This window comes from Homo sapiens, chromosome 2, assembly GCF_000001405.40.
Source record: "Homo sapiens chromosome 2, GRCh38.p14 Primary Assembly".
Lineage (NCBI taxonomy): Eukaryota > Metazoa > Chordata > Mammalia > Primates > Hominidae > Homo > Homo sapiens.
This window is the reverse complement of record NC_000002.12, coordinates 203,097,305-203,112,374: the sequence shown is the minus strand read 5'-3', so window position 1 is coordinate 203,112,374 and position 15,070 is coordinate 203,097,305. Positions and strand designations below refer to the sequence as shown.

Sequence of the window (15,070 nt, the reverse complement as noted above, 5' to 3'; positions counted from 1 at the left end):
CTGCTCTATTCATTTCTTTGGCTTTCCTGTTATAAGTCTTTCTTTCTAAGCCTTTGTTTCTTCCTTAAATGTTTTCCTTTTTTCACATTGTCTGACTTCATCTAATAATGACAGGCTGACAGAATTGAATATTAATGTGTGGAGTCTTACTACATAGAAAACACTTTAAAATCTGGGGCCACATATTTACAATAAACATAACCTTCTACCTTAACTAAAACATTTCAAGAATTCTCAACCAATAGGGCCCGTAAAGAGTAGGTTGGATATACTTACTTCATTCATGGCAGGAAATCTGAGAGGGGCAGAAACCTTCTGTTGTCCATTGTCATAGATATAGACGAAGCTCTGACCAAAAGGCCTTTTTCCAGGCATGTGGACAACAGTTATGTTGTGCTGGTAAAGTGAAACACACATTTAAAGGATAAAATTACATTATGTCTTTGGAATGACAAATGCTTTCAGAAGTTTGCTCTATAATTTGTACAAATAGTAGAACGTTAAGATTAAACGTAAATGTTAAATTGATGTTCTCAAAGTAACAATTTTTTCCATAGTAGTACAAAAGCACGTAAGCATATTCTATAAAATATACACAATTGTAACAGTACCTTTTCTGCATTTCCAAAGCTTTAGTATTCCTTAGAATCATTTTTAAAAATGAGAAGCATTTTATATTTTAGAAAACAATACAAATGCATTATTTAAAACAACCTATCAGCTGGGCGCAGTGGCTCACACCTGTAATCCCAGCACTCTGGGAGGTGGGCGGATCAGGAGTTCGAGACCAGCCTGGCCAACATGGTGAAACCCCACCTCTACTAAAAAATACAAACATTAGCCGGGCATGGTGGCAGGCGCCTATAATCCCAGCTACTCAGGAGGCTGAGATAGGAAAATTGCTTGAACTCGGGAGGTAGAAGTTGCAGTAAGCTGAGATGGCGCCACTGACTCCAGCCTTGGTGACAGAGCGAGACTCTGTCTCAAAAGAAAAAAACAAAAAAAAACACAAAACAATCTATCATCTCATTTTATTTTATCATTGTTTTAAAAAACCTTTTTTAGAAATTGGGTCATGCTCTATAGCTGAGGCTTGAGTGCAGTGGCATAATCATAGCTCACTACAGCCTTGAACTCCCCAGTATCCTCCTGAATAGCTAGGATTATAGGTGTGTGCCACCTCACCCAACTAATTTTTCAATTTTTTGTAGAGAGAGTCTCACCCCAGGCTGGTCTTGAACTCCTGGCTTCAAGCAATCCTCCCATCTTGGTGTCTCAAAGTGCTGGGTTTACAGGTGTGAGTTATAGCACCCACCCCATCTCATTTTAAATTGAAATTCAAAATTAAATTTACTTATAGAGATGGGCGGATCACAAGGTCAAGAGATCAAGACCATCCTGGCCAACATGGTGAAATCCTGTCTCTACTAAAAATACAAAAATTAGCTGGGTGTGGTGGCACGTGCCTGTAGTCCCAGCTACTTGGGAGGCTGAGACAGGAGAATTGCTTGAACCCGGGAGGCAGAGGTTGCAGTGAGTTAAGATCGTGCCACTGTACTCCAGACTGGCGACAGAGCAAGACTCTATCTCAAAAAAAAAAAAAAAAAGAAAAAAGAAAATTTACTTATAGAAAACCTTAAGACATCCTAACGTTCTATATATTTATTTATTTATTTATTTATTTATTTATTTATTTATTTTGAGACAGGATCTCACTCTGTTGCCCAGGCTGGAGTACAGTGGCACCATCTCAGCTTACTGGAGCCTTGACTTCCTGGGCTCAAGCAATTCTCCCAACTCAGCCTCCCAAGTGGCTGGGACCACAGGCACAAATCACCATACCCAGGTAATTTTTGTATTTTTCAGTAGATAGCAGGTTTCACCATGTTGCCCAGGATGGTCCCAAACTCTTGAGCTCAAGTTATCTGCCTGCTTTGGGCTCCTAAAGTGCTGGGATTACGTACAGGTGTGCCACTGCGCCCAGCCTCATTTAAATTTTTTAGCAAAAAAATGACTGCTGTTGAATTTATGACAATGGTGGGAAATACCATTAACCATACTAGAAGTTAAATGTGATGCCCTAAAGCCTTACCCAGAGGGAATCACAGAAACTGTGGTCAGGAAGCATAACCGTTGCATATTCTCTTTTTGTGCACACTGCCACGACCAACATACCTGAATGGGTAATAAAGGCTTCAAAACCCATGCCACTTCCTGTAAAAAAACTAAAAAAAATACGTATTATCAGAACTTTTAAAGTTGGTTGTTCAGTTTCATCATCATTAAAGTACATAAAACCATAAAGCCATCATGAACATCTTTACCCACAATTCTGTGGCTTAAATTCTATTGCCACACAGAAGTCCAACCTTGTTTCAAAGACCCCTTTAAAATCCATTTTGGTCATAAGAGTTTAGTAAATAAAAGGCAGCCTTGTAAAGTGGAATTCCACTAGTAAAAGTAAAAAAGTAAAACTACTAATTTTCAAATCTTTAAAATTCTTCCAAATAAGATTCAGTAAGCATAAATAAAGGTCTTTAAAATCACAAGATATAGGCCAGGCGCGGTGGCTCATGCCTGTAATCCTAGCACTTTAGCAGGCCGAGGTGGGCAGATCACCTGAGGTCAGGAGTTCGAGACCAGCCTGGCCAACGTGGTGAAACCCCGTCTCTACTAAAAATACAAAAATTAGCCAGGCGTGGTGGCGGGCGCCTGTAGTCCCAGCTACTTAGGTGGCTGAGGCAGGAGAATCGCTTGAACCTGGGAGGTGGAGGTTGCAGTCGGCTGAGATCGTGCCACTGCACTCCAGCCTGGGCGACAAGAGCAAAACTCTGTCTAAGAAAAAAAAAATCACAAGACATATTAAAAAGTAGTAGCTACTTAAGTCTGGATGTACAGACACATAGGTCTTCTGTTCCTTCATATAAATATATACCATATTTATATATATTTATAGCATATTCAATGGAATAGAAATCATTACTCATATCACTACTCATTTGTTTTTCCTTTTTTTTGAAGCAGAATCTACTCTATTGCCCAGGCTGGAGCACAGTGGTGCGATCTCAGCTCACTGCAGTCTCTCTGCCTCCTGGGTTTAAGTGATTCTTGTACCTCAGCCTCCCAAGTAGCTGGGATTACAGGCATGTGCCACCACGCCCAGCTAATTTCTGTATTTTTAGTACAGACAGTGTTTCTCCATACTGACCAGACTGGTCTTGAATTCCTGACCTCAAGTGATTCGCCCACCTCAACCACTTAAAGTGCTAGGATTACAGGCGTAAGCCACCACACCCGGCCATTATTCATTTTCATAGTGTTTTTTCTGTGTGTGTGAGACAATCTTGCTTTGTCACCCAGGTTGAAGTGCAGTGGTGCAATCACAGCTCACTGTAGCTTCAACTTCCTGAGCTGAAGTGATCCTTTCAGCCTTCCAAGTAGCTGGGACTACAGGTATGTGCCACCACACCTGGCTAATTTTTATATTTTTTGTAGAGATAAGGTTTTGCCATGTTGCCCAGGCTGGTCCTGAACTCCTGGCCTCAGGCAATGCACCTGCCTCTACCTCCTAAAGTGGTGGGATTACAAGTGTGCCACCACACCTGGCCCATTTTCAAGGTTATTACTCCTTTTTCCTTTCACTTTTACACTACTTTTAAGAAGGAAACTTGTGGCTGGGTGCGGTGGCTCAAGTCTGTAATCCCAGCAATTTGGGAGGCCGAGGTGGGTGGATCATGAGGTCAGGAGATGGAGACCATCCTGGCTAACACGGTGAAACCCCATCTCTACGAAAAAAAAAATACAAAAAATTAGCTGGGCGTGGTGGCGGGTGCCTGTAGTCCCAACTACTTGGGAGGCTAAGGCAGGATAATGGCGTGAACCCAGGAGGTGGAGCTTGCAGTGAGCCGAGATCACGCCACTGCACTCTAGCCTGGGTGACAGAGCCAGACTCTGTCTCAAAAAAACAAAAAAAAAAAACTTAACCAGCAATATTTGAGATAAACAGCTATTACTATGAAAGCAATAAAGCACTTATAATTAAACTGTATAAAGCCTAAGGATGAAGAGACTTTAGATAAGCTGTATATCTAAAAGCTAGATGCTTGGAAACAGTTTTCCTGTTTAAGAATCACAGCATATATTGTTATGACAGTATTCATTTATATTCCATAATTTTTACCAATACCTGTACAATTGTTTCCTTTTCCCTCCTTTGTTAGCAATGCCAAGAGTCAACTGATCCTGGTCTAAGCAAAACCAAGCACTGAAAGAAAAGGCAGACCCTGGCCATTTCTGTATGGGAGGCACAGAAATTCCTGCCATACTATGTGACAAATTGAAATACTGGAGGGCACTCTCTAGACTTAGTTTTCGGGCCATTGTCAGGATTGCTCGAGTCACGGGAGTGACATAAGGGTGAACAGACTCAGATTCATCCACTCTCAGCAATCTCAGTAGTCGACGGATTTCTTCTGAGCTCACTGACTGACTCCCCAAGGAACCATGGATTGCAATCAAGTTCTCAGCACAAGTTTGATGGAGGGAAGAATGCAAGTCAAGGGTTTCAATGATTCTAATCCCCATGTTTGCATTGACACAAGTAGTTCGACTCTGTCTATTAATACAACAAATTCTTTTCAGCCAATCAGAGATGAAGATTTGCAGGTCATGGGATTGTAGTTCTGGAAGCCACTGGATAAGAAGCAAGAGAGGTTGGACATTACTAATGCCCAAAATCCCAACTGAAGTGTGGTCACCCTCTACAGCCTGAAAAGCAACATAAAAGATAAAAGGTTAGTTATCATTTTCAAAATGGATATTAACAGAAATTCTCTTAATAAAGGTTATAAACTCACCATATTCATAAGTTCTTTAAGTAATTCCAGTGGTGGCTGACCCAGGGATTTTAATACTTCAAGCATATGTGTATAACCAATTCTTTCTTTAAATACTTCCTAGGGGATGGGAAGACAATATATCAAAGTACATTTTCAAAGACTGAATATGTTGGAATATTAAAAATATTAAATAATACTCATTTATGCTAATTAACTTAATATTAAATAAAGAAAAAGACACGAATTCACTATTTGCCTTCTTAAATCATGTCTTCATTTTAAAATAGATTCCATATAACTTCTGCAGTAATGAAGTTATAATTATCTACCAAAATTCAAAATAAATGAAATTAACAATAACTGTGTTATAGAATTATTATATTATTTGCAGATTAGGGCATATGACAATTCTTGTATTTTCTTCACTTGATTTGTAATTACTATAGTAGTAGTTAAGTCAAAACAAAAATAGAGGAAAAAATGAGGAGACTGTAGGTAAGAGGAGTCAGATATCAGCCTAAAAAGACCCAATTAAAGAGTTCCTGCCAATTTTGAATAGTGGTCAGAAAGAAACTGAGTACAAAGAGTTTTCTCTCTGCTACTTGTATCTAAATGGTCTGAATTATCTGGAACATCAAGTTCATTTTAGGAAGTTCTATGTCACATGTATTTTTGAACCAGTAGGCACCCAAAGTCATAAAGTGAAATATAAAGACAACTGGAAAACCTAGAACATACTAAAGTGCCCCATTACCTTAGGTTGAAATATATACACTCACTACAAAATCAAAAAATTTAACAAAACAAGTAAAGCTGGTTTCCTTTAGGGAGAGAAATGGTTGAATGTGGGTCAAGAATAGGAAATATTTTCTCATGTATTTTTGTTATATAATCTTTTGAATTTTAAACATGCCAGCTATTATATGGACAAAAAAAAACAACTTTCAAGGAAGACTGGAACATCTTTTCTCATGTTTGAATTTCAGAATACAGTACAGGCAATCCATTATACTCATAAACCAGTTATTTAGGACTTAAAATGGTTTCCATCGTACAGCAACTAGTATTAGATGGAGATTAAGTCACAAGCCAGACTGTAAAAGTTGTAAAAGCCTATTCAATAGGAACCTAACCATGAGTTATGTCAACATTTCTAAGGCAAAAGTTAGAGTCTCCTAACACAAACCAATGTAATCTAAGGAATACAATGAAAGGCATGTTTCAGAAAACAGGGAGTAATTAATTCACTTCTGGTACCAGGAAGGTGAGGCATAAAGTATATTAGATGTGGCAGATAAGAGTGTAAAGTAATAATAAAAGTCACTGACATGTATTTAGCACTTATCATGTGCCTGGCACTATGCTTACCACTTCACACAGATGACCTCACTAATCTTATCAGCATATGAGGAAACTACCAGTATAACTGGACAGAAGAACAGTCAGTGGCAGTGAATGAGAAGAGACAGAAAACTCTAAGGGTTAGTGAATACAAGAAGCAGAATTTCCATGGCCATACAACCTGGAAAAACTAGTATCAAATTGATAGGCTATTCAAATGTGAAAAATGTCATATTTTAGGCAGTCATAAACTGACTAAATAAAGGGTCATTATTTTATTAATGAAGAAAAACTCTGATATAAAGCTTAATTTTTTAAACTCATGAACCACAGAACCACTTAAAAGTATCCTTCCAACACCAGTGCTCATGTCCCATTCTTTGCCAACACTGTAAATCCTATCAGTTTGCAGTTCAATCATTAATGTCTTTTAAAATCTTAAAGCAGTGCCTATAGGGGTTTGTCTTTAAAATTATCACAAGTATAGGCAAACAATAAATAACCTCATTCTTATATTAAGATATTTTGTGAATGATTTTATTTCAGGTGTTAAGCCACATGTATTACATACTTTCATACATCACTTCAGAATTTACATAGTGAAAATCGGCACATCTATTTAAATATTTTAAAACTTGGAGATACATCAGGCTAACAGCAGACCTTTCAACAGAAACCCATACAAGCCAGAAGCAACTGGGAGCATATATTCAGCTTTCTTTTTTTTTTTTGAGATGGAGTCTCGCTCTGTCACCCAGGCTGGAGTGCAGTGGCGCGATCTCAGCTCCTGCAAGCTCCACCTCCAGGTTTCACACCATTCTCCTGCCTCAGCCTCCCGAGTAGCTGGGACTACAGGCGCCCGCCACCATGCCTGGCTAATTTTTGTATTTTTTTTTTAGTAGAGATGGGGTTTCACTGTGTTAGCCACGATGGTCTCGATCTCCTGAACTCATGATCCGCCTGCCTCAGCCTCCCAAAGTGCTGGGATCACAGGTGTGAGCGACTGCGCCCATCCATATTCAGCATTCTTAAAGAAAAGAGGCTGGGTGCAGTGGCTCACACCTGGGATCCCAGACTTTGGGAGGCTGAGGGGGGTAGATCACGAGGTCAGGAGTTCCAGACCAGCCTAGCCAAAATGGTGAAACCCCACCTCTACTAAAATACAAAAATTAGCCAGGCGTGGTGGCAAGCACCTGTAATCCCAGCTACTCCGGAGGCTGAGGCAGGTGAATTGCTTGAACCCAGGAGGCAGGGGTTGCAGTGAGCCAGGATTACATCACTGCACTCCAACCTGGGCAACAGAGCAAGACTCTGTCTCAAAAAAAAAAGAAAGAAAGAAAAAAGAAAAAAAAGAAATTCCAAAGAATTTCATATCCAACCAAACTAAGCTTCATAAGTGAAGGAAGAATAAGATCCTTTTCAGAGAAGCAAATGCTAAAAGAATTCATTACTACCAGACCTGCCTTACAAGATATCCTGAAGGGAGTGCTAAATATGGAAAGGAAAGACCATTACCAGCCACTACCAAAACACACTTAAGTACATAAACCCATGACACTATAAAGCAACCACACACACAAGTCAACAAGTCTGTATAATAACTAGCTAATAATATGGCAGTAGGATCAAATATGCACAGATTAGTACTAACCTTGAATGTATATGGGCTAAATTCCCCAATTAAAAGGCACAGAGTGGCAAGTTGGATAAAAAACCAAGACCCAGTGGTATGCTGTCTTCAAGAGACTCATCTCACATGCAGTGACACCCATAGGCTTAAAGTAAAGGAATGGAGAAAAATCAACCAAGCAAATGGAAAATGGAAAAAAGCAGGGGTTGCTATTCTTACTTCAGACAAAACAGACTTTAAACCAACAAAGATCATAAAGACAAAGAAGTTACATAATGATAAAGGGCTCAATTTAACAAAACCTAACTATCTTAAATATATATACACACTCAACACAGAAGCACCTAGATTTGTAATTCTTAGAGACCTACAGTATACTTGGACAGATCATTGAGGTAGAAAACTAACAAAGATATTCAGGACCTGAGCTTAACACATGACCAAATGGACCTAGTAGAGATCTACAGGACACTTTACCACAAAACAAGAGAATATACATTCTTCACATCTGCACATGGGACATATTCTAAAATCGACAACACAATCAGACATAAAATAATCTTCAGCAAATTTCAAAAAACCAAAATCATACCAACTACACTCTCGAACCATAGTACAATAAAAATAGAAATCAAGACTAAGAAAATTGTTCAAAACCACACGCTTACATGAAAATTAAACTGTCTACTCCTGAATGACTCCTGGGTAAATAATAAAATTAGAGCAGAAATAAAGAAATTATTTGAAACTAATGAGAAGATACAACATACAAGAATCTCTGGGACATAGCTAAAGCAGTGTTAAGAGGGAAATTTATAGCACTAAACGCCCACATCAAAAAGTTAGAAAGACTGCAAATCCAACAACCTAACATCACAACTAGAGAACTGGAGAAACAAGAGAAAACCAATCCCAAAGCTAGCAAAAGGCAAGAACTAACCAAAACAGCGCTGAACTGAAGGAAATTGAGACATCAAAAACCATACGAAAGATAGGCCGGGCACAATGGCTCACATCTGTGATCCCAGCACTTTGGGAGGCTGAGGCAGGCAGATCACTTGAGATCAGGAGTTCAAGACCAGTCTGGCCAACATGGTGAAACCACATCTCTACTAAAAATACGAAAATTAGCCAAGCATGGTGGCATGTGCCTGTAATCCCAGCTACTCAGGAGGCTGGCAGGAGAACTGCTTGAACCCGGGAGGCGGAGGTTGCAGTGAGCTGAGATCGCGCCACTGGACTCCAGCCTGGGTGGCAGACAGAGACTCTGTCTCCAAAAAAAAAAAGAAATACAAAAGATCAACAATTCCAGGAGTTGATTCTTTGAAAGAATTAATAAAATAGATCACTAACTGAACAAAGAAAAAAAAGAGAGAATATCTAAATAAACACAATCAGAAATGACAAATAGGACATTACTACTGACCCCACAGGATACAAAAAACCCACAAAGACTACTATGAACACCTCTATGCACACAAGCTAGAAAACCTAGAAGAAATGGATAAATTCCTAGAAACATACAACCTCCCAAGATCAAACTAGGAAGAAAATGAATCCCAGTAAAGACCAATAATGAGTTCCAAATTTGAATCAGTAATAAAAAGCCTACCAATCAGAAAAAGCCCAGGACCAGAAAGATGCACAGCCAAATTCTATCAGATACATAAAAAAGAGCTGGTACCATTCCTACTGAAACTTTTCCAAAAAATTGAGGAGGAAGGACTCCTTTCTAACTCCTTCTATGAGGCCAACATCACCCTGATACCAAAACCTGGCAGAGACACAACAAATAAAGAAAACTTCAGGCCAATATCCTTGATAAACATAGATGCAAAAATCTTCAACAAAACATTAGCAAACAGAATCCAGCAGCACATCAAAGAGCTAATCCACTATGATCAAGTAGGCTTTATCCATGGGATGCAATGTTGGTTCAACATATGCAAATTAATAAATGTGATTCATCACATAAACAGAACTAAAAACAGAAACCACAAGATTATCTCAATAGAAACAGAAAAGGCTTTCAATAAAATTCAGCATCGCTTCATGTTAAAAACCCTCAACAAACTAGGCACTGAAGGAACATACTTCAAAATAAGAGCCATCTATGACAAACCCACAGCCAACATCATACTGAATGGGGAAAAGCTGGAAGCATTCCCCTTGAAAGCCAGAATAAGACAGGGATACCCTCTCTCACTACTCCCATTCAACACAGTACAGGAAGTCATAGCCAGAGCAATCAGGCAAGAGAAAGAAATAAAAGGCTTCTAAGTAGGAAGAGAATAAGTCAAACTCTCCCTGTTTGCAGACAATATGATTCTACGCCTAGAAAACCCCATAGTCTCTGCCTAAAAGCTCCTTGATCTAATAAACTACTTGAGCAAAGTTGCAGGATACAAAATCAATGTACAAAAATCAGCAGCATTCCTATACACCAACAATATCCAAGCTAAGAGCCAAATCAAGAATGCAATCCCATTAACAATTACCACAAAAAGAATAAAATAACTGGGAATATGGCTAACCAGTGAGGTGAAAGATCTCTACAACAAGAATTACGAAACACTGCTGAAAGAAATCCGAGATGACACCAACAAATGGAAAAATATTCCATGTTTATGAATAGGAAGAATCAATACTGTTAAAATAACCATACTGCCTGGGCTGGTGTGGGGGCTCACGCCTGTAATCCCAGCACTTTAGGAGGCCGAGGTGGGCAGATCATTTGAGGTCAGGAGTTCCAGACCAGCCTGGTCAACATCGTGAAACCCTGTCTCTACTGAAAATACAAAAAAATTAGCCAAGCATTGGTGCACACCTGTAATCCCAGCTACTTGGGAAGCTGAGGCAGGAGAATCGCTTGGACCTGGAAGATGGAGGTTGCAGTGAGCTAGGATCACGCCACTACACTCTAACCTGGGTGAGAGAACGAGACTCTGTCTCAAAGAGAAAAAAAATGACCATACTGCCCAAAGCAATTTACAGATTCAGTGCTATTCCTATCAAACTACCAGTGGCATTCTTCACAGAATTAGAAAAACCTATTTTAAAATTAATATGGAACCAAAAAAGAGCCTGAATAGCCAAGGCAATCCTAGACAAAAAGAACAAAGCTGGAGGCATCACATTACCTGACTTCAAACTACACTACGAGATTACAGTAACCACAACAACATAGTACTGGTACAAAAACAGACACATAGACCAGTAGAACAGAAAAGAAAGCCCAGAAATAATGCTGCACACCTACAGCCATCCAATCTTTGACAAACATGACAAAAACAAGCAATGGGAAAGGGCTCCTTTTCAATAAATAGTACTGGGATAACTAGCTAGCAATATGCAGAAGACTGAAACTGGACCCCTTCCTTACAATACACAAAAATCAACTCAAGATGGATTAGACTTAAATGTAAAATAGGACCTGGCAAAGATTTCATGATGAAGCCATCAAAAGTAACTGCAACAAAAACAAAAATTGACAAATGGGACCAAATTAAACTAAAGAGCTTCTGCACAACAAAGGAAACTATCAACAGAGTAAACAGACAACCTACAGAATGGGAGAAACTATTTGCAAACCATGCATCCAACAAAGGTCTAATATCCAGAATCTATAAGGCACTTAGACAAATCAACAAGTAAAAGCAAATAACCCGACTAAAAAGTGCGCAAAGGACAAGAACGGACACTTTTCAAAAGAAAACAGGGCTGGGTGTGGTGGTTCATGCCTGTAATCCCAGTACTTTTGGAGGTCGAGGCAGGCGGATCACCTGCGGTTGGGAGTTCAAGACCAGCCTGGCCAACGTGGTGAAACCCCATCTCTACTAAAAATACAAAAATTAGCCGGGCTGTGGTGGTGCACACCTGTAATCCCAGCTGCTTGGGAGGCTGAGGCAGGAGCATCACTTGAAACCAGGAGGCGGAGGTTGCAGTGAGCTGAGATCGTGCTACTGCACTCCAGCTTGGGCGACAGAGGGAGACCCTACCTCCAAAAAAAAAAAAAAAGAAAAGAAAACATGCAGCCAACAAGCATATTAAAAAATGCTAAACATCACTAATCATTAGAGAAATGCAAATCAAAACCACAATGACATACCATCTCACACCAGTCAGAATGGCTATTATTAAAACATCAAAAAGTAACAGATGTTGGCAAGGTTGTGAAGAAAAGGAAACACTTATACACTGCTGGTGGGATGCAAATTAGCTCAGCCATTATGTAAAGCAGTCTGGCAATTTCTCAAACAACTCAAAGCAGAATTACCATTCAACCTGGCAATCCCATTATTGGATAAATACCCAAGGGAATATAAATTGTTCTACCATAAAGACACATGAACATGTATGTTCATCATAGCACTATTCTCAATAGCAAACACATGGAATCAACCTAAAGCCAATTGTAGACTGGATAAAGAAAATGTAGTATATATACACCATGGAATACTACACAGCCATAAAAACAAAGGAGATCATATCCTCATATCCTTTGCAACAATGTGGATGGAGCTGGAGGCCATTATTCTAGGCGAACTAACACAGGAATAGAAAACCAAATACCACATGTTTTTACATATAAGTGGGAGCCAAACACTGAGTTCATATGGACACAAAGAAAGGAACAATAGACACCAGGGCCTACTTGAGGATGAAAGGAAGGAGGAGCGGGAAGATTGAAAAACTACCTATTGGGTACTATGCTTATTACCTGGGTGGCAAAATAATCTGTACACCAAATCCCCATGATATCCAATTTACCTATATAACAAACCTGCACATGTACCCCTGAACCTAAAATAAAAGTTAAGAAAAAAAAAAAAGCTGGAGGATATATGTTTCACCTTAGCAGCTGGAGATTTGTTCATTACTGCGGTCAAAGCCTGAATGGTTGATATGGCCAAACAATCCAATTGTCCCTGAAACACCTATTGAGGGGGAAGGGGAAACAAGAAATTAACAAATGTGCTCACGATTTTTATTGAGTTAGGAAACCTTTGGTCTGAAAACCTGAAAAAATAATTACTTAACATGCATTACATTCCTCTTCTGATGAAATGGATTTCTGAAACACTATAACCTGCAAGGAAAGTTACCTATTTAAAAGAAAAATAAACCACATGTCAAGGAGGATAAGGCAACATTCACTTATTACATTAAAATGTTTTGAGAAAAAAACAAGCTTAACACATGCTTTTTAAAAATAATGGACAATCTCAAGAGGAAGGGAGGGAGGTCTATCATTCATTGGAAATCCTATTACTTTTTTTTTTTTTTTTTGAGATGGAGTTTCGTTCTTGTTGCCCAGGCTGGAGTGCAATGGTGCAATCTCGGCTCACTGCAACCTCCGCCTCCCAGGTTCAAGTGATTCTCCTGCCTCAGCCTCCTGAGTAGCTGAGATTACAGGCATGCGTCACCATGCCCAGCTAATTTTTGTATTTTTAGTAGAGACAGGGTTTCTCCATGTTGGTCAGGCTGGTCTTGAACTCCTGACCTCAAGTGGATCCACCCACCTCGGCCTCCCAAAGTGCTGGGATTACAGGTGTGAGCCACCATGCCCAGCCAGAAATCCTATTATGTTTTAATTCCCCTTCAAAACTACACTTGAACCATCCAGGTTTAAATTCCATTTGCATGTATAAAAAGACAGCTAAAATAATCTTGTTTATCTAGTTTCCAAACCCTGTGTTAAAACTAAGATGGCATGTGCATATGCCAATCAATTATACTTATAAACAATTAAATATATCTATTTTTATATTAAATGGAAAATTTGAGGCAGACACAGAAAATGAAATAAGTATCTCTAAGTATTGTCATGTTTTTGAGAAGGCAACTTTTAATCCTAAAAGTTGTATGAAAAAATAAAAACTAGCCTAATTTTGTCTATTACTGTTTAAGTTTCATCAAAAAGAAGAGATATGTTAAATTCCAGGGCAGTGTATTTATAGCAAAAACAAAAACTAACATCAAGAATATTAAAAAACTGAACATGACTGTTATATCAGGCTTAGACAATCATGAAAGCATAGAATCACTTACAATTTGGAATTGTAATGTGAACCTCTAAGAGACTATAATAATTGTTTTATTAATCTACATTAAGTAGGCCTTAAGAGGGATTAACATTTATACAGAAATCTAAAACAATATTCTGTAAATTGGCATTTCACATCTAGAATAAAAAATAATTAGATGATAATGTGTCTTGTTATACAAAAATTCTATTTATAAACTTGGACATTAACACAATGTTAATAAAAGACAATATGTAAGTTTATTGGAAATATTTTGGAAGAGAAAAATAACGTCAATTTTTAAAGGTAGTTTTTTTTCAAACTAAATTACCTAATGTATTGAGAGAAGCAACATAAATTACATATTTTTGCTTTATTATACCTGTATAGACTTGAATTTCTAGAATACAAAAAGTCAAGTTTTATGCTAAATTAACAGAGAGTTCAGCATCTTCTTCCCTTCCTCCAAGATTCAGGTTGTCCATTGAATTATAATCATCACTTGTCAATAAGAAGCAAAGAATCAAGATATTAACAATGACCATACATATTCACAAAGAAAGCCCTAAGGTCCCAATATACCACAGTGCTTAGAAAAGTCACCACCAGGTGGACAGCATTGTACTGAGATCCCATTCCTGTACTTTATATCTCCTCAAATTGAAAAGACCATACACACGTAGAGGGAATGGAATGGTACTGATTGTTTGTATCAACCACCAAGATATTTATCCTTTAGATGAAAGCAATTTTTAACTTTTTAGTAATTTTCAAAAATAATTAATAAATATTAGAATTTGACAATGTTTGTGTATTTTAGGACATAAGAAGAAAAGCACAGGAATAGTTATTCCCATTGGCTGATTTTGGACTTCAGCTGAAACAAGATGCAGGCTTTGTAGATACCTGGTCCTCATTCATTTCTGTCAGTAATTTGTTGGCAAGGTCTTTCTCGTTCTTGTCTGCCACCTTATTGTTAGCATTTAAAAATAGCTGTTAAAAACAGAGACAAGAATAATGGAGAAAGAACATTAAATTGTTACCTATAAGCAGCAATGAAGCTTAAATGGGTTTCCATGTCTCTTGAAAATAAACCCAAGAATTCCCTTGTGAAATATACTACACTTTTAGAAATTAAAGATTATTCACTTTTTGGATTATGAACTAATAGTAGTTTAGATATTTCTCTCTTGGAATTCAAAGTTACTAAAATAAGAAACAATGGCAATAATTAG

General features: G+C 38.3%; 1 protein-coding gene across 10 annotated transcripts in view, besides 1 other annotated feature; it reads right to left on the bottom strand.

The window, feature by feature from the left end:
• The window catches only part of NBEAL1 (neurobeachin like 1), a 210,587-nt gene that overhangs the window by 112,820 nt on the left and 82,697 nt on the right, over positions 1-15,070 (bottom strand). For 7 of the 10 annotated variants that reach the window (XM_011511658.4, NM_001378026.1, XM_006712698.5 and 4 more), the window contains 6 exons: positions 14,742-14,828; positions 12,663-12,746; positions 4,857-4,955; positions 4,187-4,767; positions 2,093-2,225; positions 277-396 (listed from right to left, as the gene is read on the bottom strand). In XM_011511658.4, coding sequence (XP_011509960.1) covers positions 277-396; positions 2,093-2,225; positions 4,187-4,767; positions 4,857-4,955; positions 12,663-12,746; positions 14,742-14,828 — 1,104 coding nt within the window. The remainder of the gene's footprint in view (positions 1-276; positions 397-2,092; positions 2,226-4,186; positions 4,768-4,856; positions 4,956-12,662; positions 12,747-14,741; positions 14,829-15,070) is intronic. The other 3 variants (XM_047445554.1, NM_001114132.2, XM_005246787.5) reach the window with 1 other exon arrangement.
• Positions 1,452-1,618: a silencer, noted in NCBI's record as "fragment chr2:203975480-203975646 (GRCh37/hg19 assembly coordinates)". NCBI's record gives its function as "represses an EF-1alpha promoter that drives an FKBP-Casp9 reporter gene in an ReSE screen in K562 erythroleukemia cells {active_cell/tissue: K562}" and the evidence as "EXISTENCE:reporter gene assay evidence [ECO:0000049][PMID:32094911]".